Source organism: Homo sapiens, chromosome 3 (assembly GCF_000001405.40).
Source record: "Homo sapiens chromosome 3, GRCh38.p14 Primary Assembly".
In the NCBI taxonomy this organism is placed as follows: Eukaryota; Metazoa; Chordata; class Mammalia; order Primates; family Hominidae; genus Homo; species Homo sapiens.
The window spans coordinates 139,541,182-139,568,019 of record NC_000003.12 but is presented as its reverse complement, the minus strand read 5'-3'; the positions used below and the strand labels follow the sequence as shown (position 1 = coordinate 139,568,019).

Here is a 26,838-nt window from a genome sequence, read left to right as displayed (position 1 = left end):
CTCTGAAATTGAGGCAATAATCAATAGCTTACCAACCAAAAAAAGTCCAGGACCAGATGGATTCACAGCCAAATTCTATCAGAGGTACAAAGAGGAGCTGGTACCATTCCTTCTGAAACTATTGCAATCAATAGAAAAAGAGGGAATCCTCCCTAACTCATTTTATGAGGCCAGCATCATCCTGATACCAAAGCCTGGCAGAGACACAACAAAAAAAGAGAATTTTAGACCAATATCCTTGATGAACATCGATGCAAAAATCCTCAATAAAATACTGGCAAACCGAATCCAGCAGCACATCAAAAAGCATATCCACCATGATCAAGTGGGCTTCATCCCTGGGATGCAAGGCTGGTTCAACATATGCAAATCAATAAATGTAATCCAGCATATAAACAGAACCAAATCTCAATAGATGCAGAAAAGGCCTTTGACAAAATTCAACAACACTTCATGCTAAAAACTCTCAATAAATTAGGTATTGATGGGATGTATCTCAAAATAATAAGAGCTATCTATGACAAACCCACAGCCAATATCATACTGAATGGGCAAAAACTGGAAGCATTCCCTTTGAAAACGGGCACAAGACAGGGATGCCCTCTCTCACCACTCCTATTCAACATAGTGTTGGAAGTTCTGGTCAGGGCAATCAGGCAGGAGAAGGAAATAAAGGGTATTCAGTTAGGAAAAGAGGAAGTCAAATTGTCCCTGTTTGCAGATGACATGATTGTATATCTAGAAAACCCCATCGTCTCAGCCCAAAATCTCCTCAAGCTGATAAGCAACTTCAGCAAAGTCTCAGGATACAAAATCAATGTACAAAAATCACAAGCATTCTTATACACCAATAACAGACAAACAGCCAAATCGTGAGTGAACTCCCATTCACAATTGCTTCAAAGAGAATAAAATACCTAGGAATCCAACTTACAAGGGATGTGAAGGACCTCTTCAAGGAGAACTACAAACCACTGCTCAATGAAATAAAAGAGGATACAAACAAATGGAAGAACATTCCATGCTCATGGGTAGGAAGAATCAATATCATGAAAATGGCCATACTGCCCAAGGTAATTTATAGATTCAATGCCATCTCCATCAACCTACCAATGACTTTCTTCACAGAATTGGAAAAAACTACTTTAAAGTTCATATGGAACCAAAAAAGAGCCCGCATTGCCAAGTCAATCCTAAGCCAAAAGAACAAATCTGGAGGCATCATGCTACCTGACTTCAAACTATACTACAAGGCTACAGTAACCAAAACAGCATGGTACTGGTACCAAAACAGAGATATAGACCAATGGAACAGAACAGAGCCCTCAGAAATAATGCCACCTATCTACAACTATCTGATCTTTGACAAACCTGAGAAAAACAAGCAATGGGGAAAGGATTCCCTATTTAATAAATGGTGCTGGGAAAACTGGCTAGCCATATGTAGAAAGCTGAAACTGGATCCCTTCCTTACACCTTATATAAAAATTAATTCAAGATGGATTAAAGACTTAAATGTTAGACCTAAAACCATAAAAACCCTAGAAGAAAACCTAGGCATTACCATTCAGGACATAGGCATGGGCAAGGACTTCATGTCTAAAACACCAAAAGCAATGGCAATGAAAGCCAAAATTGACAAATGGGATCTAATTAAACTAAAGAGCTTCTGCACAGCAAAAGAAACTACCATCAGAGTGAACAGGTAACTTACAGAATGGGAGAAAATTTTTGCAACCTACTCATCTGACAAAGGGCTAATATCCAGAATCTACAATGAACTCAAACAAATTTACAAGAAAAAAACAAACAACTCCATCAGAAAGTGGGCAAAGGATATGAACAGACACTTCTCAAAAGAAGACATTTATGCAGCCAAAAAACACATGAAAAAATGCTCATCATCACTGGCCATCAGAGAAATGCAAATCAAAACCACAATGAGATACCATCTCACACCAGTTAGAATGGCGATCATTAAAAAGTCAGGAAACAACAGGTGCTGGAGAGGAGGTGGAGAAATAGGGAGAATTTTACACTTTGGTGGGACTGTAAACTAGTTCAACCATTGTGGAATTCAGTGTGGCGATTCCTCAGGGATCTAGAACTAGAAATACCATTTGACCCAGCCATCCCATTACTGGGTATATACCCAAAGGATTATAAATCATGCTGCTATAAAGACACATGCACACGTATGTTTATTGCAGCACTATTCACAATAGCGAAGACTTGGAACCAACCCAAATGTCCAACAACGATAGACTGGATTAAGAAAATGTGGCACATATACACCATGGAATTCTATGCAGCCATAGAAAATGATGAGTTCATGTCCTTTGTAGGGACATGGATGAAACTGGAAACCATCATTCTCAGCAAACTATCACAAGGACAAAAAACCAAACACCGCATGTTCTCACTCGTAGGTGGGAATTGAACAATGAGAACACATGGACACAGGAAGGGGAACATCACACAGTAGGGACTGTTGTGGGGTGGGGGAAGGGGGGAGGGATAGCATTAGGAGATATACCTAATGCTAAATGACGAGTTAATGGGTGCAGCACACCAACATGGCATATGTATACGTATGTAACAAACCTGCACGTTGTGCACATGTACCCTAAAACTTAAAGTACAATAATAATAAAATTTTTAAAAAAAGAAAACTATGTTTTTCAGTTTACCAAAATATATCAGGGACTTTAAAAATCTTTGCACTCTTTGCTTGATAAATTCCCATTCTAGGAATCTGGCTAAGGAAATAATTAGAGATTGGGACAAAGATTTATGCAGAAAGATGTTTATCACAACAGTTTTTACAATGGCAGGAAGTAAAAGCAATATCAATGTTTAAATATAAAGGAAAGTATACCTAAATTATACTGTATACATAGCATAAAGAAACTACATAAAAGGTTTTGATGATGTGGAGAAACACTTATGAAGGAAGTGGAAAAAAATCAGGATACAATACTGCATATAATCTTAAGTATATAAAAATATGACTATACTTCCCATCTGTTAGCATGTCTAAATAGAAAAGACTAAGGAAATACACTAAAAACTGATGGTGTTTTGTAGAAAGCAGAATTAATATTGTTGTTGTTATTTCTGCTTTAAATACTTACATATTTTCCATACATTCCATAATGAACACAGTTTGATGTTTGTAATTGGGGTAAAATGTAGAGCAATTAAAAACAGGAAGGTGGAATTTTTCTCAGCATAAGTTTGGCTTTTGATGAGATGGCATGTGTGTTACTAGTGACATATTTCTAAAGGACCATTTTGTGTGCTGCGTATTTTATTGGTGTGCTGTTATACTCTGGGGTTGCAAATTACGTGATGAGCTCGGCAATTTCTGGCTGCCAGAGCCTTGCTTTGCCCATCACTTCTATGATTTGCAGGCCTCCTTGGGCTCACCCAGAGTCATATGGATTGCTACATTCTGGGCTGCTTGGGTGTGACACTTTGGGATGGATGATGCCTTCAGTTCTTTAACAGCTGACTCTGTCTGTCTTTTGTGAAGGTGGCGCCCACCCATGGCTGATGGAACCAAGCACAGCTCAGCCACATTCAGAGGATTCCCTCTCCCAACAGAGCAGGCCCTTTATCTGTTTCCGTTTTATACTGAATGTTCCAAGGTGGCCTTGTATGGTAAATTTAGGTGCTGCCTGTCAGATGCTTCATCTCTCATGTCCTGTTTAGACCCAGAAGTCCCACATTTCTGAGTGTGTCTGTGAGGTACCATGACAGACATCACTGTTGGTGGCAGTGTTCACATGCTGCGCCAGACAGGAAATTTACATTGCATTCTCTCCATCACTCAATTCCCATAACTTCCAAAGAAAGCTTTACTATCCCCATTTTATGGCTGAAGAAACAGGCCCATAGGCTAAGTAATTTTCCTGAGGGTACCAGCAGATTTAAAGTTGAACCCAGAGCTGACTGACCTCAAGATTGGTGTTCTTTGATCTCACAGACTTAGGACAACCAAACTTTCAAAGATCCTAGTGGCACTTCCCTCACAGTCTATGTAAATTTCAGTTTTATCTACCTTTCAAAGCCCTTAGCTACTCAAAGGTAGAGCACACTGCCCCCAGAATGCCTATGGACATCCCATTTGTTTATGTATCTGTATCACTGTTAGGAGAAATCGTATTGATTTCTTTATACTACACCCTGGAGTTACATACTTAGGACTTGGATAGAGTCACTCGGTCTAAAAATTTTGTAACAGTGTTGTAAATGGATTTGGAAGAGATGTGTGAATGCGTTTGTGAGCCCTGAAGACAGGACTGCCAGGAATTAGAAGTCTGAGGCCCATGTTGCCCGAGAAGTGATCTATCACATGGTATTGTCGTCATGAAATAACAGGCACCACCAGCCTCACAGACATGCCTTTGATTTGGGGGGCAGGGGAGGTGTGGGCCCTTGTTCCTTCTAGGCAAGGCTCAAAGTGAATAGTATTCCTTGCTGTCATTGTTAATGAATCAAACGGTACCCAATGTTGAAACTGACATGCAGAAATTGTCCCCACAAAAAAATCTATTGGAAAAAGGAGGTGGTATCTTCTCTGTTCTCTGACCTGTAGGAAGAGAGGGGGTGTGTCCCAGGTCCCAGCAAATCCTGGAATGAAATGCACATCATAGTACCTCCCCCATAGGAAGACCACATAAAACTACCTAATTGTTTGAAAGACCAAACACTGTTCTCCTTTATACTACACTGGTTGGATAGATAAGAAATTGGAGTAAAACTTCACAGATGCAGAACCGTTCAAATATACATATGTGTTGTGAGCAATGGGACCAGCCCAAATTAGTGAAAAGTGTGAGTTACTGAATAATTGTTAAATGCTGTTTTATTGGTTTAAAAAGGCCAGACACTGGGAGACAATTCATAAATGTTGAGTGGGTGTTTCTATGAATAGAGTGGTAGATAAATGAGTAAATGGATAAGTGAATGAATGAATAAATGAAGGGTAATATCCTCATTTTAAAGTTGAGATCACATGAGGTATTGAACGTCAGAACCAGAATTTGGGTGTAAGGTGTCTGGCTCTAGAGTCTTAGTTTGTAACCACTAAGAGTTCATACATGCATGAATGAAGGAATGTTTGAATATCGTTTACTAGACCAGTATTATGCCGCTAGAGCATTTGAAAAGTGTGTTTCTGTGATTGCATATGTTGCTTTAAATGAGTCTAGAGCTCATCATCTCATGGATGGGGAAACTGATACCCAGAGAAAGGTCTTGGCTCTGGCCGCACAGCAGCCTGTGCCCAGTTGAGGCCAGGACTCAGACTTCTCCATGACACCTCCAGTCTCTCACTTTCCATTCCACAGTTGCTCCAGTGCTTTTGTGTGAACTCATCTCTCTGGTCCACATTTGGATTCCTTTAAAGGTTCCACCTTAGAGGATCCTAAACTGACCATTTACACAAGTTTTTCTCCAGTATGGTAGCCCTGGAGCCTCTCTTTACTCAGACTTTGTGGTGACTGACAGGGGCCAGTACTCTGGGACCCCAGTCTTTGCCATTTACTGAAGCTGGGATCAGCTTCTGGAAGAATCAGAGACCCTGCAGCTTGTTTCTAGCATAGACTTGGATTTCCTTTGCTGATTAGCTCACCAAGAGGGACACGGATAGTGCCAGGAAAATCAGTCTGGAACTCTAGGAAGGGCTTCTCCAGTATAATGCAGGTACAGATTTCCACCAGCAGGCAGCAGCAGAACCCAGCAGTTACAAATGCCACACCTGGAGGATGGCTGCCTGGGTTTGACACCTGACTTATCTGCCTAACTGAGTGACCTCAGGCAAGTCACTTATCTCTCTCTGCCTCAGTTGCCCCCTCCATAAAATGGGCACAATACTCACCTCATAAATTGTTCTGGGGTGCATATGGTATTATACACATAAAGAGCTTAGTAGTAGTGCCCACAGTAATCTCCCAATAAATGTTATGTATTATTTCATTATCACAATTAGCATTCTGTTAGAACACATTCCAAAGGATTATCCACATTAAGCATTGTTCTAGAGCTTTGTTTTATTGGAAACTGCAATGAAAAGGCCACCAGCTGGAGTCTTAGAGACCTTTTGTTTATCCAAAGAGCCTTTATAATTAATCTTTATAGTGAGATTGTTATATAAAAGTGCCAGGTACTAGTTCCTAGTAACACAAGGGCTGAAATGGATTTCAAATAAGGCAGTGACTTGTCCAAGGCCCATGGCTTGTTGGTCTCAGAGCTTTCAGAACCTTACCTTCTATCAGAAGACACAGTACTGGGTACAGCACAGCCACCTTTAGAGCACTCTGCCTTGGTCCAAAGCAACCACAGACAGACTTCTGTTAGAACACTGAAAAGAAAAAAAATCGTATTCCTTGGCACTTTTCCAATATTAAACAAAAGGTGTATTGATTAAATCATTACTTACAACTGTATTCCCTGAAATGGCTGCAGATTCATTTACATGCTTTTTCTTTTCAAGTCATGAACATGGAGACACTGAGTTCTCGATACATCCAAGAAAAGCATTTTGTGAGACTTTCCAATGATGTTGTCTTTCCTGGCAGTGACCTCTCTCTAACTTTACTGGGTCCATCCTTGTTTTTGCAGCTGTGCCTGAGCTGAAGCTTCTCTGTGGGGCAGACGTCTTGAAGACCTTCCAGACCCCCAACCTCTGGAAGGATGCGCACATCCAGGAAATAGTGGAGAAGTTTGGCTTGGTGTGCGTGGGCCGAGTAGGTCACGACCCAAAAGGTTACATCGCAGAATCTCCCATCCTACGGATGCACCAGCACAACATTCACCTGGCCAAGGAGCCTGTGCAGAATGAGATCAGTGCCACATACATCAGGCGAGCCTTGGGCCAAGGGCAGAGCGTAAAGTACCTGATTCCCGATGCTGTCATCACGTACATCAAGGACCATGGCCTCTACACCAAGGGCAGTACCTGGAAAGGCAAAAGCACCCAGAGCACTGAGGGCAAGACAAGCTAGGGAGGGGGGACTCAGCACCCACACCTCCTCCAACAAGCTCCTGCTGGGGAGAGGGCTGTTAAGGTTTCTGTTTTACTTTGGTTTTTGCTTCTCCATTTTTCATTTGCTTTATTTCTACAGTGATTCTACTTCTGAGGAGTCTTCTGTCCCAGGAAGAGATACCTTCTTTACAGGAGAGGAAAGGTCTAAATCACAAGGATAGACATTTATCAAAGAAGTTAAAATGGTGTGGCAGGTCATTAGGATTAGGCAGAATCTCTCAGAGCTGCTGGACAAGGAGGTCTACTTATTTTGTGTGGATGGTAATTATGGCATGCACGCTGAATGCAGTTCTGAGCATGGCAGCGGCCCCTGAGGGTCAGATCAGAATTGCCCACAATGTGTTTTTTAACTAGGACCAGGTGCAGCATGCTAGTCTTGATTGGAAAGATTTGACAGGATGCTAATTACTGAACAGTGGGTTTTGTCAACGCCCTGGTTTCAGAATATGAACTGAGGAGTCAAACAGTTGGAAACAGCACATTGCTGATTTACACTGGATCTTGCCTTAGAAACCATTGTCTGCCTGCCTAACCAGCTTTTCATAAAATTTAAACAAAACTCTTTCTACGTAGTGATCCTCAAGCAATATTTTTGATACAGCAAGTGTCAAACTTGCTATAGCATAAAAGCCGGGGCTCCTGATTTCCAGGTTTCTAAAAAGGAACTGAGGTAAAACAGATGCCTGACCGTTTTAAAGGATCTTTTTTAATGTTTTATGACTGCCTGTCTGTTTGAATACTGGCAAAGGGATAAATAATAAATTGACATCAAAAAGTACTAATGAAAAATTTCTCTTTTTTCTTCCTTTGTTATATTATTAATGCCTGATGTACCAGCTGTTGCTCTTCTTTTTAGCTGCTTCATGAAATTTGCTACTGTTCCAATTGAACTGGCATGAATTTAAAAGTTTGTGTTTCCAGGTAGTAGGAATGGAGGAAGCAATTGCTTTTTGGTGCCACACAAACGGCCTTCTAAAAGAAACCACTGGGCCGATAGCTCTTTTCAGGTAGGTCTCTGAAATATTAGAACAGGGGCCTCATGTGCATGTAGGATTTGTCATTCCGTTACCAAATTAGGGAAAGGTTTTGATTGGCCTAATTATGTTTGGGTTTACTCATTATACTTGCTGACCACATGACTGAATGCATTCAGAATTTACGTCTCCATGGTTTTACTCTGGTTCATCCTTGCTACAGGTTTAGTCATGCAGAAAAACAAAGGGCCCGTTAGGAAGAATCTATTTTCTCCCCCCCCGCAAAACATCTCAGTGTTTGCATATGTGTCATGAAGTGAAGTAGGAAATCAGGATTTTCTGGATCCAGCAAGGTCAGGGTGGGGAGCAGATTTTGATCCCTGCAACCGCTGAAGCTGCCAGCCATTCCTCACCCTAAATGAACTCTGCACTCCAAGAGGTCCCTAAGGACCCTGAGAATCCAGGGGGATAGGAATCAGACAGCCTTGTCCAAAAGCTGCCACAGCAAGCTGTGTGACTTTGACTAACTCCCTTCCCCCACTGTGAGCCTCCATTTCCCTGCCTCTAAAATGGGAGGTTTAATCAGACACCTCTAAATTATCTTCTAGTTCTGGTTTTCTAAGACTCTGAGTGCCTCTGACTTCAGCCTACCCAGCCTTCTTTGGATCCAGTGCATGTCTAGCCAGACTGGAAGCTCCCCAGGGGCAGAGAATCTTTGTTTCCAGGGTCCCAGAAAGGGCCCTAATTATATGGATCTCTAATTTCAAATCAATAATTTTTATTCTTATTTCTGGAAAAGGGCCTTCAAAATTATACAAGGTTTTGACTCTACAAAATGGATTTGCCATTTGCCCTGATGACAGTGTAGACAGAAGGGAAGTGACAATGTATTTGAGACCTGAAGGGTGAGTTCACAAGATCTGGGGATGGGTGGAGGCAGCTGGCTTTCAGGAAGAGGGAACATCACATGCAAAGGCCTTGAGGAAGAAGAGGCCAAAATGTGCAGCATGCTGAGCTGGATTCATCATCACTTCCTGGAGAAGGGGTACCTTATTGCATCATGCACCTGACAGCAGGTGTCTGAAGCCCCCATGCCCCTGTCCAGGCTTTCCATAGGCTCAGGGCACCAAGTCCAACCAGTCTGGAGGTGATGTCATCATCTCCCTGATCCATGTGTGCATCATGCAGCCCCTACCAGGCAAAACATCCATTTCTGAGCCTTTATGTTGTCTCTTTCTAAAATAAAACAACAAAACCTACTTCATTAAATACATATATAAATAAAACATTATATGTCTTAATTTCTGTACTCTCACTTTATCTCATTGATTCATGTAGCCTCCTTTTTTTAGCATCAGAAGAGAAATATGTATCACTGCTGTGCTCCTGACTTATTGTGTTAACACTGACCTGCATACCTGATTCCACATTCCTTTCCGTTCCCTCGGGTCTTTTCTGCATCTGCTTTGCCAGGGTGTTTTGTTTATTTTGCAAGAACAGAAAAACAGTGGTTTGGGCTCCTGAGTAAATAGAATTTCCAGCCTTAAATAAAGGTTCTCCTGTGATAGCATGTAGTGCCCAAATGAGAGGAGCTCTGTATCCTAGCCTGAGGAAAGGATTTTTCATTTATAATACTGTCTGTGTCACTTGGGACGGAATGATGTGAAATCCCATGTTAAACCAACAGCGCTCCAGATTTGCAAGGTACATTTGGTAATTGGGTTAATACATGAATATGAATTTCCTTATCCCCATCCTCACACTTTCTAGGCTAACAGTATTTCTGCCCTCCCTTTCTGCAAGGATCTTCATGCACAGATTGTGTTCAGTTTCAGTCATGAAGTTATTTTCCTGGATCAAAAATTGGCATTATAGATATACATGTGTGACTAATAAACAATCTGTAATAATGCATCTAGGCACACGCCTCAGAGTATTTTAGTATTGTTGAAATAACCTCATAGAGGATTGTTCATGGCACCACAGACTGTGAGGACTAGAGGGAATCTTCAAATTCATCTTGTCCTACATTTCCAAATTATCAAATATGTAAATCCCACAAATGAATGGAGTTTCACTACTAGAAAGAATAATAATAATGTGTTCTGTGCATGAGTTTGGGGAGGCCTCCTTTCTGTTCCCCTGTTGAAAATCTATAATGTGTGGAGTGCGTGCCCTCTCAGTCCTACCTTCTATACACCCGCTGTATGGAGCTGCTTTTCTCCATCCCTTCTGTTGCTTCTCCATCCAAACTGCCATCATCTCTCACTTGGATCACCCAACAGCCTCCTAACAGGATGCCCCAATCCAGTCCTGACCCCTCCAGTCCATTCTCCACATAGCAGGTAGGGCAGCTGTATGTGTGTGCAAATCTGGTCATATTACTTCCCTTCCCAAACTCCTTCTGAGGGACATTAAGAAAATGAAAAGATAAGCCACAGACTGGGGAAAAAATTGCAAAATGTATATCTAATAAACAATTTAAATTCAGGATATCTAAAGAACTCTGATGACAAAAATAAGAAGACTAACAACTCAATTAAAAAATGACCAAAAGATTTGACTAGACATGTGCGGGAGACGGGAACACAGCAGGCCTGATGTTGCTCTGTAGAAGGGTCTGCCTGTGGAGCTGGCCTTTGCCTGGCATCTGAGAACCTGGCTTTTGGAATGTTACCTATGTTTCCAGCTGATAAGGCTGTTTTGCCTTCCCAGGGCACTGAATCCTACAGTACCAGCTTGCCTAAACTGTTTGTACAAACAGTATGATTAATGGTGCACACCTGCTTTTCTCCTAGGAGTTTGGAATTTCAGTAATCACCATTGGTTGTGTGGCAGAAGAGTGCCTACATCACTAGGCCACAAAAAACTCTGGATGTCGAGTCTCAAGCAAGGCCCCCAGGCAGAAACAGCATGCACTGTTGCTGCATTTCACTGCTGGGGAGAGAAGCATGTTCAGTGCAAACCCCACCCTAGAAGACAGAACTTTAAAAGCCTGCATGTGGACACCTCCAGACTCTACCTTATGTGCCTTTCCTCCTGTTGTGTGGTGTTTCACTATGGTAACCATTGCATGGATGCAACTGCCTCTGAGGTCTGTGAGTCCCTCAAGCAAGTCCCCAAACAAGATGTTTCACCAAAGAAGATAACATAGATGAATATAATTAGCACATGAAAAGGTGCTCAACACCATTAGTCATTAGAGAAATACAAACCAGAACCACACTGAGATACCATTTTATGCCCACTAAAATAGTTCAAATCAATCTAGCATCCACTCTTAGATATCTATTAAAAGGAGGTAAAAACATATGTCCACTCAGACTTATAGGCAAACATCTGTAGCACCATAATTCACTATAGTAAACACAGGAAGCAATTCAGGTGCCCCTCAACTGACAAATATATAAACAAATGTATTATATCCATGCAATGGGATACTGTTCAGCAATTTTACAAAGGACTAGTGATGCCTGCAACAACATGGATGAACCTCAAAATGAGCTAAGTGAAAGAAACCAGACACAGAAGATACATATTAAATGATTCCATTCACATGAAATTTCTAGAAAAGGCAAAACTATAGAAGCAAAAGCAGGTCAGTGCCTGGGAATGGCATTGACAGCAAGTGGGCACAAGAAAATTTTGGGGGTGATAAAAATGTTCTAAAACTAGATTGTGATGATAGTTGCACAACTGTGTACATTTACTAAGGCTCATCAAACTGTGCCCATAAAATGGGTAGATATTGTGTTATTTAAATGACACCTTAATTAAGGTGTTTAAAAGAAAAATTCCCCTGAGTTTCTCCTGCTTGCATTTGAAGTGAAAACCCAGCTCCTCATGGGGTGGCCGCCTCCCCCCGGCAGCTCTTTCTGTCTCTGCTTCATCCATGGGGCTTTCTCCAGTTTCTCACCCCACCCTCCTTCCCATGAGTGCTCCAGCAGGTGCTGTTCCCTCTGCCTGGCACGCTTTCTTGCTTCTCCACTTCCTTGGAGTAACTCAGAGTCTTCTTCAACTCTCTACCTCAAGTCACGTCTCGCAGGAAGCCTCTCTGGCTCTGCCCACTGCAGTCCTACCTCCCTGCCCTTCTCCTTGGGGACACTCATGACTCCTGAAACTGTTGACTCTTCTCCTAAGTACAGCTTCTGGCTCATAGTGGGTGCTCAATAAATATTTCATAAAATAATGTCTGAATAATCATCTGAATTGTTCTGAGAAGCCCATGATAAACAAACCTGTTTAACTTTGTGTAAACCAGTGTTTCTGAGGCATGTTTTCACAAAGAACCCCCACCTTTTTTTTTTTTAAATGGAGTCTCACTCTGTCACCCAGGCTGGAGTGCAGTGGCGCGATCTTGGCTCACTGCAACCTCTGCCTCCTGGGAAGAACCCCTTTTTATACACATATACTTGATAGTATGTGCAACACAATATTTAGAAGAACAGTTTAGTAAGTTACTGTCTAAAGTTTTTTTCTAGTTTTTTTTTTCCTGCTACAAACAATGCTGCAACAAACACTCTTATGCATAAACCCTTAGAAGCCAGTGCTTTTGTTGGATAGATTCCCAGGAGTGTTTATTGCTATGTTAAATGGTATGTGTACATTTTATTCTAATAGATCTTACCAGATTGTAGACAGTAGATTTTAAGTAAGTTGATTTTTAAAAAAATAAAAAGCAGAATCCCATAGAGCTGCTAAAATTCTCATTTCCTTATTCCTTTCCAGAGAATCTCCTTCATTATCTTTGAGACAAACATGAGCAAAATCCATTTATTTATTTCAACAGATAATCTATGATGAAGAATTTCAGGAATTTATTTGCCACAAAGAGATAGCAATTCACGGGCAAACATTGTTCCTAGCATTTGCTGGGTGCCTAAGTCAAGGATTATTTTTAATTATTGGCAAAAAGGAACTCTTCAAACTGCCTAAATAAAGGAGGTGGGAGCATCAGGTATCATAAGAATGTCAAGAATGGAAGGACCCAATGACAGGACATATGATAGGTTTCAGGAGAACTGGGAAAAAAAGAAGAAATTGAAGTTCCCTCCTCTCCCCTCTCTCTCTCCCTCCTCCTCCTCTTCCTTTCTCTCTCCCTTCTCTCTCCCTGTCCTTCCCTCTCTCCCTCCTCTTCCCCTTTCTCCCTCTTCTTCCCTCTGTCCATCTCTTTCTTCCTCTCTCTCTCCTTCCTCCTCTCTCTCCTTTCTCTCTCCTTTTCTCTCCCTCTCTCTCCCTCCTTCTCTCTCTTCCCTATCTTCTCTCTTTCTCTTCTTCTCTCTCCTTCTCTCTCCCTATCCAGCAGCCTTAACATCTATGGCCAGATGACCCTCCCCCTTCACCCCTCATCTCAGTGTCATGATTCCAAATTCCCAGAGACATGCGCTGTCCCTGAATGGACTTGTTCATCCTTGCCCATGTGGCCATGACTGGCAGGTCGGGGCCATATGTTTCTTCTTCAAACTGTGGCAGTGACATTTCTGTAAAGGGGAAGAGTAAGTAGGAAGAAGGAAATGATAGGCACCCCAAACAGTTGAGTAAGTGCCCCTTAAATCACAAAGTAACCCAAGTAACCTGGCATTTTGTGCATATATCCTCTTACTCCTGTTTTGCTAGAGGCAGTAGACTAGGGTGGCATGCTGGTGGCCAAACCACACCACTGGAGGGAGAAAGGAAAGCTGGCGGGGATGGCACCTACATGTCAGCCCCTCTTCACTGTTCTCCTTCCACTGTGGGCATCCAGCACCTGAGCCTGGCTGGTTGGGCAGAAGCTGGGCCTGGATGAGCCTGACTTCCACAGGGGAGGGCAGAGGAAAGGGACTGAAGCTGGCTGGTGAGCCACCACCTTCAGGCCGATTCTGCAGAGGAACCAGGAAACTCCTGCCCAAGAGGCGCACTGAGCTCAGAACTGGGAGCATCAAGCCAGGCATGAGGGCCCAATCCTCTGCAGCCCCAGAACCTTGTCTCCAAAATTCAACTGGCTTCTTGGAAAAAGGATGGCAAATTTGTACAAATGGATGCTTGTGAGGATTGTGTGGATTTTCATCTCATCTCAAGGTGTCATCTCTTCCAGAGACCTGTCTTCCCTAACCAGTACCCTGCACCTCATTCCCATCAAAGCTGGAGGAGAGTCTCTCCTCTGTGCTCCCGAGCCCCTGTACATCCCCAGTCACATCTCCACTCATCCTGGTTTTCCCATTTCCGTGGCTGTCTCCTTGGCCTGACTGTGTACCTGGTGACAGCAGGGGCTGTGTTGGAACCAGCTCAGTGTCTCACAGTATGCAGACCAAATACCCCATGGAATGGCTTCTGGATAGTCTGGTGAAGGCCTGGCATCCACTCCCCCTTCCTAACAACATCCTGAGTTCCTTTTAACAGCTTTTCTTCCTCATCTGGTGGAGCATTGCTGCATGCTCATTCCCAGATTTTAAACCTGAAGTACAGCAACAGACTGAAAAAGACTGGAGTTTGTTCTAGTGGCTGTGTTCTAACCAGAACCCAGTATGAGGTCACACTTGTTTTTCTTATTTCCCTCCCAAAAATGTTGTTTACTGCTTGATAATCCATCTAATAAATTTTCTTATTTCTTAAGTTCTCCAGAATCTGTTTCTGCTCCTTGCATCTTAAATAGAAAGAAGGGTAGGGGGATGATGGAAGAAAGGAAGTGAGGGAGGGAGGGAGGGAGGGAGGAGGGAAAGTAACTCAAACCCTGAGTGAATGAATGGGTGAAATAAGACCACAGCCTGGCTGGAAAGCCTGCCATCAGCAGGCCAGAAGTGGACAATGGTGATGGTTGCTGTGATGAGCAATACTGTTTTTCTGGAACAGCCAGACCAAGCCCAGACATTCACATCTATGTCAACACTGTGCCAGCCATGGAGATTATTTCAGAAAATTCTCCCCAGCCTTCACAAATGTTATCAGGCCCACGGTGTCCTCTGCCATCTCAGTTATGACTAATGGACATCTACTGAGCTCCTGCTAATAGAGACAGGAAGGCCAAGGCCCTGGGCCTCAGATTGCCCCAGATTGCCAGGGTCAGAGCACAGGGAAGTGGCCAGGGCAACTGAGCTATAAAGATATCTGGGCTCAGGTTCCCAACATGCAGAGAGCATAAGACTCACCTACAGAGCTTGGTAAAGATGCCATCTGCTGGGCGCATCCAGACTCTGATTCAGTAACCTGGAGTAGGCCCAGGAATCTGGGCTTTAACAACACCCCAGGACTCTGAGGCAAATGGTCTCTATTTAGGAGACACTGAGAATTGAGAGAAGGAAGAAATGCAGGTAGGCGTGCCCTGGCAGCAGCAGACAGCTTGGCCTCTGATGAACCTCTGCAGAGCTCCTAGGGGATGGAGCGCATCTGCCCTTCACCCCCTCCCAAGATAATTCCTCCCAAAATATCTTCAAATTGTGCTGCAGTCACTCGGGTGTCAAAAGCATTCAATAGCTTCTCATCATCTCGAGAAAAACGCCTGGCTTCTCGGTCGACCTTTGAGCCTCTGAATCTCATCACTTCCTTTTGCTCCTGTCTGTTCTCTAGTTGTTTATCCATGAACCCTCTCCCCTGAACATCTTGAGATCTTCTCTGTTGCTGTAATAAATCACTGGCTTCCCACCTCACAATATTTGCCCATACCATTTCTCTGATCCAGAATGCACTCCCCTCTCCTCCTATCCCCTCTTAGTACTATTCTGTCTTTGGGACCCCCTTGAGCCCCGTGTCTTCCAGAAAGCTCCCCCTCCTAACTCTGGTCCCCCTCCTCTGACCTCAAGGCTTATGTTGGTGTCACTCTGTATTAGATAACTGAGGCGATATGGGGGTTCTCTGCCTCTGAATCAGGGAATGTCAGAGAGTCCATGAGGAGAAATCCATTTACATTGCCTGACCTGGAAAGATTGGAATGAAATGGGGTGCAGGCAGATTTCCAGAGCAAGTCTGAGTTGGACTCTCAGGTCTCCAGACCACTGCATCAATTCTCAGTAGCACACCGGGCATCTTGACCCAACCCTAAGCTCTAAGTTAACCAACTGTGTTCTTGCTTCATCACCCCGGTCCTCCCTGAGCCCCTTTCTGTGCTTCTCCTGCCCTTAGGTACACTGTGGTTGCCCAGACATCCAGAGGCCCAAACAAAATGGTTTTCTTAGTTCCTCAGGTGGACCCTAGACTGAGAAATAACCAACTGAAAGGTGTGAATTCAACAAAAATCACACCCTATCCCACACCTCCAAGGAGGCTACCCAAATAATGACTCCACAGTGTGGCAATAACAGAAAACAGTGTGGGCTTTGGAATCACACAGAACTGGGTTAGAATTAAGATTTTTTGACTTGAAACTATGTATGCGGTATTCAGCCAATTACTTACTCTCTCCAAATTTCATTATTTGCATCTGTAAAAGAGTGATAAGAACACCTATCCCATGCTGTGGTTCAAGGATTAAATTAGATAATATACGCAACATATTTGCTACATGGTGACCACGCAAACAGTGGCTGGGATCATCCTCGTCATGGTCTTCATCAGGCTTTATGAAAAAAAATTTCTGAACCTTTCTTTTATGCTCATCACGATGTATCCCAGTGCTCCTGTGTCTTGCCTGGGGCTCCTCCACATCCACTATTTGGTCTGTCAAGGAAAATAAAGGCAAGTACTTTGTCAAGGGCCCCGGGAGCCTATGTGCAGATACAATTATTTTAAGATGGGCAGGATTTTGAATATGCTACTCCCTTGAGTCATTACCTTTTGCTGTGTAATGAACCACTCCAAAATTAAGTGATCTAAAATCAGAACCACTTATTATTTTTCATGAGTCTAACAGTTAGCTGGTACCTCTGGGCAAAGATCAGCTGATCTTGCCTGGGCTCACTTACATGTACAGTGGTGACTGGTGGTTGTCTGAGATAATGTGGGTGGCTGAGCCATGTGTCTGTCACCCATCAGACCAGCCAGATGTGTTCACCTGGAAGCAGGTAGTAGTGTCCCAAGTGTCTGAGAACAGAAGCTGCAAGGCCTCTGGAGGTTATGCCCAGAACCGATAACAACTAATTGCTTCCACCACAAATTCTACTGATCAAAGCAAGTCATGAGGCCAGCCTAAATTCAAGGGTTGGGAAAATATACCCCATCTCTTGATGAGAGGAGCTGCAAAGCATTGTGATTTATGGCCACTTCTGTAATCTACGCAGGCCTCGAGCATTTCTCTGCATCCCTTGTGATTCTCAATCGTGCACTAAAGTGAAAATATCTGTTTTAAAATAAAGACGGATGGACAGTTGGAAGGAAGGACAGAAGGATAGTTATACGTGCAATGCTGTATATGAACGAGTGAGTGTGTAGATAGATGAATAGGTAGGCGGTGGGACAATTCCTGTGGAGGTGTATTATGTGGGTAGATAGAAGGAGGTTGTTGTGATAGAAGATGGATTTGTGGCTGGGTGGGAAGGTGATCTTCACACCCCACTCTCATCCCTATAGCCCTGGAGCATGGCGGCACAAGAACAAGACAGCTGTGCCTGTCATTGTATTAGCCCTGGCCATCTCCTGGAAGGCAGAACCCTCCCCTCCCCACCCACTGCACCCCTACAGTATGCTCCATTCCTGTTGTGCTGGCTGGCTTGCCACAGAAGCTCACGTATATAACTTTGTTTCCATAACCACATTTCTCTCCTCTTCTTCTTTCTCTTGTAGTGACACTCCTGTGCTTAAACCTTTTCAGTGGCTCCCTGTTTTCTACAGGATGGAACCCAAGTAGCTCGATATCACCTGTAAGGCTCTCCATGGCCTGGCCCCGCCTGTCTCTCCAATATTTTCTCCCAGTGTATTGGACCATCTCATCCCTCCTGCCCCCCACTGTTCCCCATTTGCCATGCTGAGCCACATTTGGTTATTCTACTTTCCCTGAAGATGCCAGCTTTCCTATGCCATCAACCACCATCTTAACCTTGAAGCACATTTTACAATCCTCTACTTGTTACATTTCTGTCTCCCACTGGACTTTGACTTCCTCAGGATTGTGTCTCACTCATGGCACTGCCCTCAGCATCTAGCCCAGTTTCAGGCACCCAGAAGGTGCCCAGAAGTGTTTGCTGAAAGGATTCATAAGCCCACAGCTTTGGCACCTTCCTCTAGTTCTTTTAAGTTCATGTTACTGTGTGTCCAGCTCTTAACCAGGTGCTTCAAGGAATACAGAAGGAATTTAAGACAGTCACTAGCCACAAAGAATTGACAGTCTGGGTGAAGGAGCTGAAGCAGGTGTGAACAAGCACTCATGCATGAGAAAAATCTCTGTCCACCCAAGGCAGTATAAGCAGCACCTCTGGGAGAGCCCAGGGTTCTCCAGATTCAGAGTGGAGATCATGGTGGAGTTGGAACACAAGGACCTTGGTGAGTGGAGGATAAAGAGAAGATGGAGAATATTTGGGCCAGGGGATCTACAGGAAGGGAATCTAAGACTGGACTGTGAGGGCACAGAAGACAAAGCCACCAGCACAAGATGGTAATGAAAAGGGAAGTGGGCATATGGCTGGGAAAAGATGTTGGGGCTGGATAGTGGAGGACCTGCAGGGACAAGGAAGAGAAGGAAACTGACTCCTCAAAACAACCCTGTGAGGATGATGGCTCAGAGACATTATGTGACTGACTGACCCAAGACCACTCAACTAGAGAATGGTGGGCCTGGGACTCAACACCAGGCTGACTCTAAAACCCAGCTCTGTTCATTGCACTGGACTCTATCTCTCCAGAGGCACTGGGGCTTCATAAATATTATTATAATGCTACTGGGAATGTGTTCTCTGTTCTTGAATCAATGTGCTCCTGGCCTATTTCTTATCTTTTTGGAAGTACAGACTCTCCACAAGCTGCCTAAACATCGTGTTTATCCTCTGCTGCTTCTGAGGAGACAAGACAGATACTGAGGCCTTGAGGCTAACCCTGAAGGGGTGACTTTGGCACACTGCTCGAGGCCGCCCCTCTTAGTCATGGGTCAGCATGAGCCCTGATCTGGATTCACTCACAGGGAGGGCCTTAGAGGACTTGATCCCAGGCTTCCTGGAAATCAATGCGTGTTTGACCAGCTGCTCCCCTTTCATCTCTTCATTGTATAATTCTGCCCCAAGAACGTAAAAACATTGCTATGGCAAGATTTGTTCTTTTTAAATCTGGCCAGAGCCTCACTAAGGTGCATTAATCTTTAACTGTTTATAGATTTTTCTGTTTAGAATGTATGCCCTGTGCTTTCATTTCACTTGGGGATTCAAGTTCTACTCCCATATTGATGATGACTTGGGAGACTTATTTTCTCTCTGGGATTTCCTTCTGCAGGCTCATTTATCAGGTCCAGCAGGCCAGGATCCCATGGATCTCTGCTTCATTCCAGAAGCAATAGGTAGTTAAGACATTGGGCTTTAGGATCAGACAAAGCCAGGGACAAACTGAGTCCCCGGCCCTGCCACTCTACCCATGTGTCCTTGAGCTAGTTATAAAACCTCTCTAAACCTCATGCTCTTCTGAAAATGAAGACCCAATGGAGTTTTATCTTACCCAGGATTCTACAATCAGCACAAAACCCATAAATAGTCATAACAATTACTTTTGCAAAGTCTAACTCTGTGCAAGAACTCCCATCTCATCTCACCCTCCCATCCCTCACCCTTTCCCATCTCCCCTTTTCTTCCAAGGCTAACTACCTGCTCTTCCTCTATTCACCTTATAGGACCACCTGCAATTCTCACCATCACCCATTGCTCCTGATTAGCTCAATAAGGGGGTGCGGGGTGAAATACACAAAACTACCATCTTCCTTAAAAGGCAGGAGGTGGGGAAGGCTGTAAATGTATATAATTCATACCTTTTTCAAATTTACTACTGGCCAAAAATACATTTTAAGAGTTAAACCAAAGTGAAAACACCAAATCGAATAAATTTTCTGATAAGTCTTAAGTCCTCAAGGCCCAAGTACACCAAGTACTTGAGAAAGACTGCTCAAGGTAAGAGATTAAAAAAACAATCCTCCCTCATACCTCACCACTGGCTCAATGGCCCTATGGAAAGCAAAACAAGCACCCATGTGGATGAATAATCTGCTTACACCTCTCTTCTGTCTAAAACTAACTTGGCAATGGCTGCTCCTAGTTGCCAAGCTTCTCAGATAGCCTGCTCTACCTCCCACTTCAGTCCTTTTATGGGCATGTCATGGCATAGAGAGGCTGACTGGCCACCAGTAGGCAGATAAATTATACTGACCCTTACCCCAACTTTCAGTGACTCTAATAAAACCAAATTGTCATTGACATCTCACTTGAAAATTCCTTTAGTAATTGCTTCTGACTAAAAAACATTCTTAGATCACTGTCATGGCATCATAAGGGACAGAATCATGACATTCTCAGTCGTTTCATCTATCATGTCTCTCATAGGTTGAAATGGCCACTTAAAGACTAAAATCAGACTGAAATTCAAAGGCTGACTGTTTCTGATTTCCTATCAGCTATGCCACTACCTGAGATGCTGTTTCTCAGCTGATCCAAGCCCTGAGCAACCAACCTGTTAGGCATCCATAACTCCACCAAAGTCCCCTTAGTCCCACTATCCGGGTTGATGGGCCTCTGAGACGCATAAGGTCTTCACCCCCAAGATAGGGCTGTCAGGACACAAGGCAAGTTCTCCCTGGCACAACCTTGGAACTCATGTGTGGGCTTCTACCAGCCGATGGGTAACCCCTATCCCCAGTCCACATCTATGCTTGCCCCACTGATACCACAAGCTTCCACAGGACCCATGTTCCCTCTTCCAGGAGGCACTTCTCTTGCAAATGGATCGATGTCTACAGGGCTGCAGGACTGGAGAGTCGAGACTGAGGTATATTTGTAGAAGGATGTTAGTCTGGGCGAGTAGGCTGGGATAGAAAAAGTAGGTGTTCTGTTTTTCACAAAACTGCCACAACTAATAGCAGTTGCCTCATTGAGTGCCTGGATCTGCCCACTGAACCACGTTGTCATCACTGTGGGCAGGATCCTTGCCAAGTTCCACCTGCTAAACCACCCTTTCCAAGGTGCCCTAGCCATCTAGTGGCAACACAGAAGAGTCTGCCACATGAGCCTGTGGTTGAAGAACAGGAAGGCATGTGAAAGATGACCCTCCCTCCCTAAAACTGGACCCTGACATAACTTACTGGGGAGCCTACCAAGATGGTGGATAGATATAGCTGCTTATGGGGCCACCTCCCATCTTCCCAGATCCTTGGAAACCCAGCTGTACTCAGAGCCTGGTACATATGGCATTTCTGGTAGCATGTTACACTGAGCAGCCATTCACATGACGTACATCCAGGAATAAGAACTGCAAGTAGAATTTATAAATACAATTTAATAAAACAAACCCGGAAGTCATATTTGTGTTGAGTAGTTGCATCCCACTCTGATAATTATTCACATGTACAGAGGGGATTAATTGAGGCTTTTATAATGCTAGCTAAATAAGAAAATGACTACTCACTTCTTGGTATCAAAACCCTCCCCCAATGCAAATGCAAATTACCCCAAGATACCCTTTTTCACTTGCAAAAATCCAAGAGTTTGAAAACATCATCTGATGGGAAGGCTGTGAGGAAACAGATGTGTTCATACATTGCTGGTGGAAAGGCAAAATAATATAATCCTATGGAAGGAAATTCAGCAATATCTAGCAAAATTGCGTTAGGTATTTGCCCTTTGACATAGCAATTCCATTTCCAGGAATCTATTCCAAAAATACACTGGCAAAAATATAAAAAGATTTAACCCACTCACTGCAGCACTGTTTTTTACAGGAAAAGACTGGAAATTACCTATGTATCCATGAGTACGATACTGGTTCCAGAACCTATAGTATATCCACATAAGGGAGCGCCATGCAGCTGTAAAAGAGGAGGAAGAGGCTGGGTGCGGTGGCTCACGCCTGTAATCCCAGCACTTTGGGAGGCCGAGGCGGGTGGATCACGAGGTCAGGAGATCGAGACCATCCTGGCTAACACGGTGAAACCCCGTCTCTACTAAAAATACAAAAAAATTAGCCAGGCATGGTGGTGGGCACCTGTGGTCCCAGCTACTTGGGAGGCTGAGGCAGGAGAATGGCGTGAACCCGGGAGGCGGAGCTTGCAGTGAGCTGAGATGGCGCCACTGCACTCCAGCCTGGGCAACAGAGCGAGACTCCGTCTCAAAAAAAAAAAAAAAAAAAAAAAAAAAAGAGGAGGAAGCTCTCTGTATATTACCGTGGAGAAATCTCCAGGATGTTTTACTAAGTTAAAGAAAAGTGTATGTTATGCTACTATTTATCCAAAAAAGCAGAGCTGTATATATATATTTAAATTTATATCTTATAATGAAAGAATAAACCATAAAATAAAAGAGATAACCAATGGTATTATATAAAACTTTTTTGGATCCCAATTCAAACAAATACACTGAAAAAAAAAGAGGTAATTGAATACCTGCTGAATATTTGATGACATTAGGAATTAATATTTTTTTCTAGTCATGATGATGTTGTGGTTATATTTCCAAAAAGTGACTCCTTCTTAGAAGCAGTCATCCAAAGAAGTTGCGTTGTCCATGCACTGCTATGCAATTATATGTTTTCAGCAAGATAATCTCAGAGGGACCCACAAAAGTGCGCCTTGAGAAGGAACTGCCTTTGAATACCCACCAACCCAGACAGACAGAAGCAGATTATTACAGTGGAAGTAAGAACTTCACAGTCCAATATCACTACCCCCTTTCCTTGTTTAGTACAGGAGGAAAAAAAAAATAAAAATTTAAATTTAAAAAGCCCAGCTATCTGGGTAACATAAGAGAAGCAAAATGCAGAAAAATAATTTCCTATAGCTTTCTAGCCCAAAGTCATAAATTGGGACAGAAAGAATGTTGAGATCACATTAAGGCCTTGCTTATTATATTGACTGACATTTTTATTACTGGAATGAGATTTTTTTTTCCTTGATATGGTAGGCAGAATAATGGCTTTCCCAAAGTGTCCATATCTTAATCTCAAATAGGCTGGCTACCTTTTTAATGGCAAAAGTGACTCTGGAGATGTGATTAAAGATCTAAGATGGAGAGGTTATCCTGGATTATCTGGGTGGGCATAATGCAATCACATAGGTATCTATACAAAAGGCAAGGGAGTCAGAGAAGAAAATGTAAGGAAGGAAGCAACAGTCCGAATGAAGTGGCCACAAGCAAGGAAATGCAGGCAGCATCTAAAAGCTAGAGAAGGTAAGGAAGAGATATTTCCCTAGAGCCTCCAGAGGGAATGCAATTCTGCCAACACCTTGATTTCAGTCCATGAGACCCATTTCAGACTTCTGACCTTCAGAACTGTAAAAGTTCTTGTTGTTTTAAGCTTTTAAAAAATGAGTTCTTATCTTTGAGAGATACTTTTTGAAATGTCCCCAGATGATATGATATCCAGTATTTGCCTCAAAATAATTTTGAAAATTGGGGAGTAGGTGGTGATATAGATGAAATGAGATTGGCTATGGGTTAATAATTGGTGAAGCTAGGAAATGAATCCATGGTGGCTCAATATACTATTCTCTTTAAGTTTACATACGTTCAAAATTTCCTATAATAAAATAAGAAAGAGAGAGAACAAAAAAAGGAGAGAAAGAAACCCATCTCTTGTACTGTATGTCATAATCTGAGAAACAAATATGTGATTGTATGAAGAGGGTCAGATAGAAAGTAGCTGACCCACACTGCAGAACCATTTTCTACACAGAAATAAATCCACCAGCCACCCTTGAAAGTGGGTTGAAGACTGTGGGGCCTGTAGACATGGTATGTCATTTGCATGTTTGAATATTCATGAACTCATCAAAGAGGAGTGTCCTCAGTAGACCTCAATGCCCCTTAGCCTCTGTGGCCTCTTGACAAGCTCTCTCACTCCCCTACACAGGAAGGCAGCTTTGTTGGGCCACTCTCATCCTTTCAGACATTAACCTCATAGATGGCATGGTAATGGCTCGGAGATTTGAGCAGGGTCATTCTCCATCGCATAACTCCGGAGACATATTTGAACACAGGAAAAAGGAAGATTTTAGAAGTCTCCAAGATAACAATGAGCCCTTGAGAAGAAAAGCAGGGACATGGTCTGAGAGACAGGGAAGCCAGATGAGAAATATTTTCTTATAAGTTGTAGAAGTATCAGGCCACCTTTCCCCTGCTAGGAGTGAATCTCTTGGCATGGGGCAGACCTGGCAGACAGGGTGGGATGAGACTGCAAGTCACCCCCTACCCCAGGATCTTGAGAGAAATATCTTCTGGGGGCTGGGGACAGAACCTCAGGGTCTGTTTCAGGGCTCTCCTCCAACCCCATTGCCTTTGGGAAGCTCTGCCACCCCAACAACTGGGGACCCTGGCAAGCTGCTTGATCTGCAGTGATACAGGCATAGTACTGCCCGCCTCACAAGGCAGGCGATTGAGGCATCATTTCATGGACCTATTTTTCTTTTTTCTTTTTCTTTTTTGAGATGGAGTTTCACTGTGATACCCAGGCTGGAGTGCAATGGCACAATCTCGGCTCACCACAATCTCAGCTTCCCAGGTTCAAGCAATTATCCTGTCCAGCCTCCCAAGTAGCTGGAACTACAGGTGTGTGCCACCACACCTGCCTAATTTTTGTATTTTTAGTAAAGACGGGGTTTCATCATATTGGCCAGGCTGGTCTCAAACTCCTGAACTCAAGTGATCTGCCCACCTCGGCCTCCCAAAGTGCTGGGATTACAGGGGTGACCCACCATGCCCGGCCCATGGACATATTTTTCTGAGCTCTGGTTTGTTCCTGTGGAGTTGACTGATCAGCTGAAAAATGAAAAGGCATATTTCCTTCCTATCCTCACAGGAAGGGCCTGCAGTGTCCCTGAGCTTCCCTCACTCAGGAGCTCACGCTGGAGATCCTTGGCTGTCTCCTCTCCTCCCCAACATAAAATTGTTCTTTGTGCCTGTCTAACTCACTCTATACACAGGCCAGGGTGGTTTCCCACTGGTCTGGCTCTTCTTTGTGGCCTTGGGAGCAATTTGAGCCCCCAAGAATTGGTTGTAGATCTCTGCTGCTCTTCTTTAAAGCTATTGAATAAAGCGAACCCCATTAGAGGTGCCTGAGTATACTGACATCTCTTTCTCTCAGTCATTTACAAGTTGGCCGTTGCTTTGGCACTCTGGCACTCCATTGCTCACCTGTCTCCTTGGTCACCTGGACTATCCTTCCTCCTCCTCATCTCTCTGATCCTGGCTGTCCTCAAGCTCCAGCTAGAGCCTCACCCCGTCCAGGGAGCCCTCACTGATTGCAAGCCCACACAGACACCCTCCTTCTTCTTTACATACTGTGTTCAGTTACTCTTTCTTTGCTTCACACATTCCAAGGAAGATTAACCCAGACAGAAAGGAGCTCCAAAAAATACTTTTTGTTTCCAAATCGAGAACCAAATGGATTAAATCAAGCACAACAGCATGGGCTGAGGAAGGATAACTTTGATGGTAGCTGATGCTTCTGAAGAGCATTTCCCATTTCAACTCATTAGACTGATCTTAAAGCCCCAGAAGAGGGGCACAAACCAGCACCCAGGCTCTCCCTTGTCTTTTCCCTCCCTTCTAGGGCCCCTCTGGCTCAAACAGCAGTGGATCTGGAACAGTACTCAGTGCCACGCCCTGTAGATTCCTCATCCTTTGCTTCTCAGCACCCTGAGAGGTAGTCAGAGTGTCCCCATTTCACAGATGTGGTGACTAAGCCACAAAGAGATCAAGTATCTTACCCCAAATCACTCTGGTAGACAGTGACCCAGCTAGCAAGAACAGGCATTCTGCCTCTAAAGCCTACACATGCAGCCTACCCTTTGCTGCAAGAAATAGCACAGCCACCAGGGGCTGTGCCTGGGAGGAGACCCAGAAGGGCAGGAGCGTACTGACCCATTTGGAAGACTAGACAAAGAGGTGGACAGACAGAAACTGAGTGAAACTAGCTGAATTAAGTGCTATATGTTCAGCTGACCAGGTCAGAAAAGTGAGATCAGGTGAGCAGAAGTTATCCAACGTGGTCAGAAGAGGGAGGAGTGGCAAGCTTGTGGTTCTTTGGGATGGACAAGAAGGACTGGAGAGGTGGGCAGGCCTCTGCCTCGAGCACGAAAGGGCCATTCCAAGCATGGCAGGGAGTCAGAACAGACTGGCCTCTGCTGTGTGCCAGGCACTGTGCTGAGCATTTGGCATAAACCATCTCAGGTGATTCAGCATAAAGGGAGAAGTTTGGGGAGGATGAGAAATCCGGCTAGCTGGGCTGGAGGCATCAGAGAGCAGGGAGAAGAGTTTAGACTAGTTGGAAGTGACCAAGGAATGGCCAGTTCACTGCTTAAGCCTTTGACCAATGCTCCATTCTGGTAAGTCAGGATAACAAGAAAGCCCAAAGCATGGCTGGCCCTGGTGGGATGCCTTACAGAACCTGGGCCAGGCCCCATCCATCCTTGCGAGGTGTCTTATTGCACCTTCAGGTTGGAAGGACTGGGATAGGTTGCCCTGAGTGCCCAGCCAAGATGAGCCCTGGGCTGGCTAGGGAGGGACACAGAGCCAGTGCTTGTGTGAACAACTGATGACCTAACCATCCAGAGCCAGACAAAGAAGCAGTGGGAAACAAGGGCCTAGAGCTGGCTCTCAACCAGGGCTGGTTTACCCAGCACCCACACCCCAGTGCCTTTGACAATGTCTGGCGACATCTTTGTGTCTGGGTGCCACTGGGATCTAATGGGTAGAGGCCAGGGATGCCACTAAATATCCTACAGTACAC

The 26,838-nt window shown here is 44.0% G+C and overlaps 1 protein-coding gene and 1 long non-coding RNA gene across 24 annotated transcripts in view; one reads left to right on the top strand and one right to left on the bottom strand.

The window, feature by feature from the left end:
- The window catches only part of NMNAT3 (nicotinamide nucleotide adenylyltransferase 3), a 117,871-nt gene extending 110,031 nt beyond the window's left edge, over positions 1 to 7,840 (top strand). For 22 of the 23 annotated variants that reach the window (NR_174944.1, NM_001401604.1, NM_001401603.1 and 19 more), the window contains one exon: positions 6,628 to 7,829. Coding sequence is in view for 22 of the 23 variants with exons in the window: in NM_001401604.1 (NP_001388533.1) it covers positions 6,628 to 7,010 (383 nt within the window). In the remaining variant the exon portion in view is untranslated. 23 annotated transcript variants of the gene reach the window in all.
- COPB2-DT (COPB2 divergent transcript) overlaps positions 1 to 26,838 on the bottom strand; it is a 193,517-nt gene that overhangs the window by 15,300 nt on the left and 151,379 nt on the right. The window lies entirely within an intron of this gene.